Source organism: Homo sapiens, chromosome 1, assembly GCF_000001405.40.
Source record: "Homo sapiens chromosome 1, GRCh38.p14 Primary Assembly".
Classification (NCBI taxonomy): domain Eukaryota; kingdom Metazoa; phylum Chordata; class Mammalia; order Primates; family Hominidae; genus Homo; species Homo sapiens.
In genome coordinates, this window is record NC_000001.11 from 98,515,345 (window position 1) to 98,518,347 (window position 3,003).

Below are 3,003 nucleotides of genomic sequence, written 5' to 3' on the forward strand. Positions count from 1 at the left end.
ATGGCCAAATAGAAGGCTCCACCAATCGTCCCTCCTATAAGATCACCAAATTAACGACTATCTAAACACACAAGAAAAGCACATTCATAAGAACCAAAAATCAGGTGAGCACTAACAGTACCTGTTTATAAACTCATGTAGCTGAAAGAGGTACTAAGGAGGTTAGGAAACAGTCTTGAATTGCCAATGCCACCCCTCCTCTATCCCCCAGCAGAAGTTACGTGGTGTGGAGAGAGAATCTATACACTTGGGAGGGGAAGAGTGCAATGATTGTGAGAATGCATTGAACTCAGTGGTGCCCTGTCACAGAAGAAAGCCAATCTGGGCTGAACTCAGCTGATGCCCACCTACAGAAGGAGTTTTTAAAGCAGCCATAGCCAGAGTGGAATCACCCATCCCAGCAGTCAGAACTCAAGTTACAGCAAGCCTCGCTACTGGAGGATAAAGGGCTCTGGGGTTCTAAATAAACTTGAAAGTCAGTCTAGGCTACAAGGACTACAATTTCTAGGCAGGTCCTACTACTGAACTGGGCTTAGAGCCAGTGGATGGGGAAAATGTGATCTATGAGACACCATCTGGGGCTACCAAGGGAGTGCTTGAGCTATCCCTTCCTCAATCATAGGCTGCACAGCTCACAGCTCCAAAACAGACCCCTTCCTTCTGCTTGAGGAGAGGAGACAGAAGAGTAAAGGGGGCTTTGTCTGGAATTGTGGACACCAGTTCAGCCACAGTAGGATAGGGTACCAGTCAGATTTGTGAGGTACCCATTCCAGGCCCCAGCTCTCAGCTGACATTTCTAGACACATCAAGGCCAGAAGGGAACCTGCTACCTTGAAGAGAAGTATCCAATCCTGGAAGGACCCATAACATGCTGAATAAAGAGCTCTTGGGCCCTAAATAACCAGCAGAGATATCCCAGTATTATGCCTTGGGCCTTGGGTGAGACTCTGAAACTTGCTGGCTTCAGGTGAGACTCAGCACTTTCCCAGCTGTGGTGACTATAGGAAGAAACTCCTGCTCGAGAAAAGAAAAGGGAAAGTTAAGCAGATTTTGTCTTGCACTTTAGGTACCAGACTGTCCATAGTGGGGTAGAGCACCAAGCAGGCTCTTGGAGTCCCTGATTCCAAACCTTGGCTCTAGGATGGCATGTCTGGACTTGCCCTAGGCCAGAAGGCAGCTCATTGCCCTGAAGGGTGAGTCCTGAGCCAGGTAGCATTCACCAAAAGTTGACTAAAGAGAGTCCGTGGGCTTTAAAGAAACATCAACAGTTGCCTGGAAAGACTCCTCATGGGTGTGTGGTGGTACCCACAGAGTGAGGCTCCTTTGCATATGAAAAGGGAGGGAAGAGTGGGAAGGACTGCATCTCATGGTTTGAGTGCCAGCTCAGCCACACTACAACAGAATACCAAGGAGACTTCTAAGGTTTTTTACTGTAATCTCTGCCTCCCAGGTGACACTTCTGGGTACAGCTGGGGCCTGGGGGGAACTTGCTGCACTGAAAGGAAGGATACAAGCCTGGCTGGCTTCATTACCTGCTGATTGTAGAGCCCCAGGGCCTTGAGCGAATACAGGCAGTAGTCAGGTAATGGTTACTATTGGCCTTGGATGAACCTCAGTGCTATGCTTGCTTCAGGTCTGACCCAGCACAGTCCTCCCTGTGGTGGTAGCCACAGGGGTGCTTGTGTCACACCACCCCCAGTTCTAGGCAGCTCAGAACCAAGACACTCCATTTATTTGTGAGAAAGTAAGGGAAGAGAACAAAAGTCTCAGCCTGGTAATACAGAGAATTCTTCCACATCTTATGCAACACCATCTAGGAGGTACCTCCATGAGTCTGCAAGAATCACAGCATTATTAGGTTTGGGGTGCCCAGTAATGCAGATATGGTTTATATCACAACACCCAAGTCCTTTCAAATACCCAGAACACCTTCCCAAGAAAGACAGGTGTAACAAGTACATACTGTAAAGACTACAATAAATGCCCCACTAACTCTTCAATGCCCAGACACAGACAAACATCCAAAAACATCAAGACCATCCAGGAAAATATGACGACACCGAATGAACTAAATAAGGAACCAGAGACCAATCATGGAGCGACAGACATATGTGACTTTTCAGACAGAGAAGTCAAGATAGCTGTTTTAAGGAAACTCTAAGGAATTCAAGATAACACAGAGAAGAAATTTAGAATTCTATCAGATAAATTTAACAAAGATATCAAAATAATTAGAAAGAATCAAGTAGCAATTATGGAATTGAAAATGCAGCTACACATTGAATAATGTAATAGAATCTTTTAATAGCATAATTGATCCAGCAGAAGAAAGAATCAGTGAGCTTGAAGACAGGTTATTTGAAAATACACAGATGAGACATAATAAAAATAAAAAAGAATGAAGCATGTCTGCAAGATATAAAAAAACCCCTCAAACTGGCAAATCTCAGAGTTATTGACCTTAAAGAGATGGTAGAGAAAGAGACAAAGGTAGAAAATGTATTCAAAGGGTAATAACAGAGAACTCTCCAAACCTAGTGAAAGATACCAGTACTCAAGAACAAGAAGGTTATACAGCACTGAGCAGATTTAACCCAAGGAAGACTACCTCAAAGTATTCAATAATCAAAATCCAAAGGTCAAGGATAAAGAAAGCATTCTAAAAGGAGCAAGAGAAAAAGAAACAAATAACATACGATGGTGCTCCAATACATCTGGCAACAGAATTTTCAGTGGAATACTTATAGGCCAGGAGAGAATGGTATGACATATTTAAAGCACTGAAGGAAAATTTTTTCTTACCCTAGAATAATATATTCAGTGAAAATACCCTTCAAACATGAAGGAGAAATAAAGACTTTCCCCAACAAACAAGAGCTGTGGGATTTCATTAACATCAGACCAGTCCTACACTAAATGCTAAAGGGAGTACTTCAGTCAGAAAGAAAAGGACACTAACAGGCAATAAGGAATCATCTGAACATGCAAAACTCACTGGTAATA

At 43.5% G+C, this 3,003-nt stretch overlaps 1 annotated feature.

Annotated features, from left to right (window-relative positions):
- Window positions 723–1,922: an enhancer, noted in NCBI's record as "MED14-independent group 3 enhancer chr1:98981623-98982822 (GRCh37/hg19 assembly coordinates)". NCBI's record gives its function as "activates an origin of replication core promoter dependent on BRD2, BRD4, P300/CBP and CDK7 cofactors, and independent of MED14, by STARR-seq in HCT116 cells {active_cell/tissue: HCT116}" and the evidence as "EXISTENCE:reporter gene assay evidence [ECO:0000049][PMID:35650434]".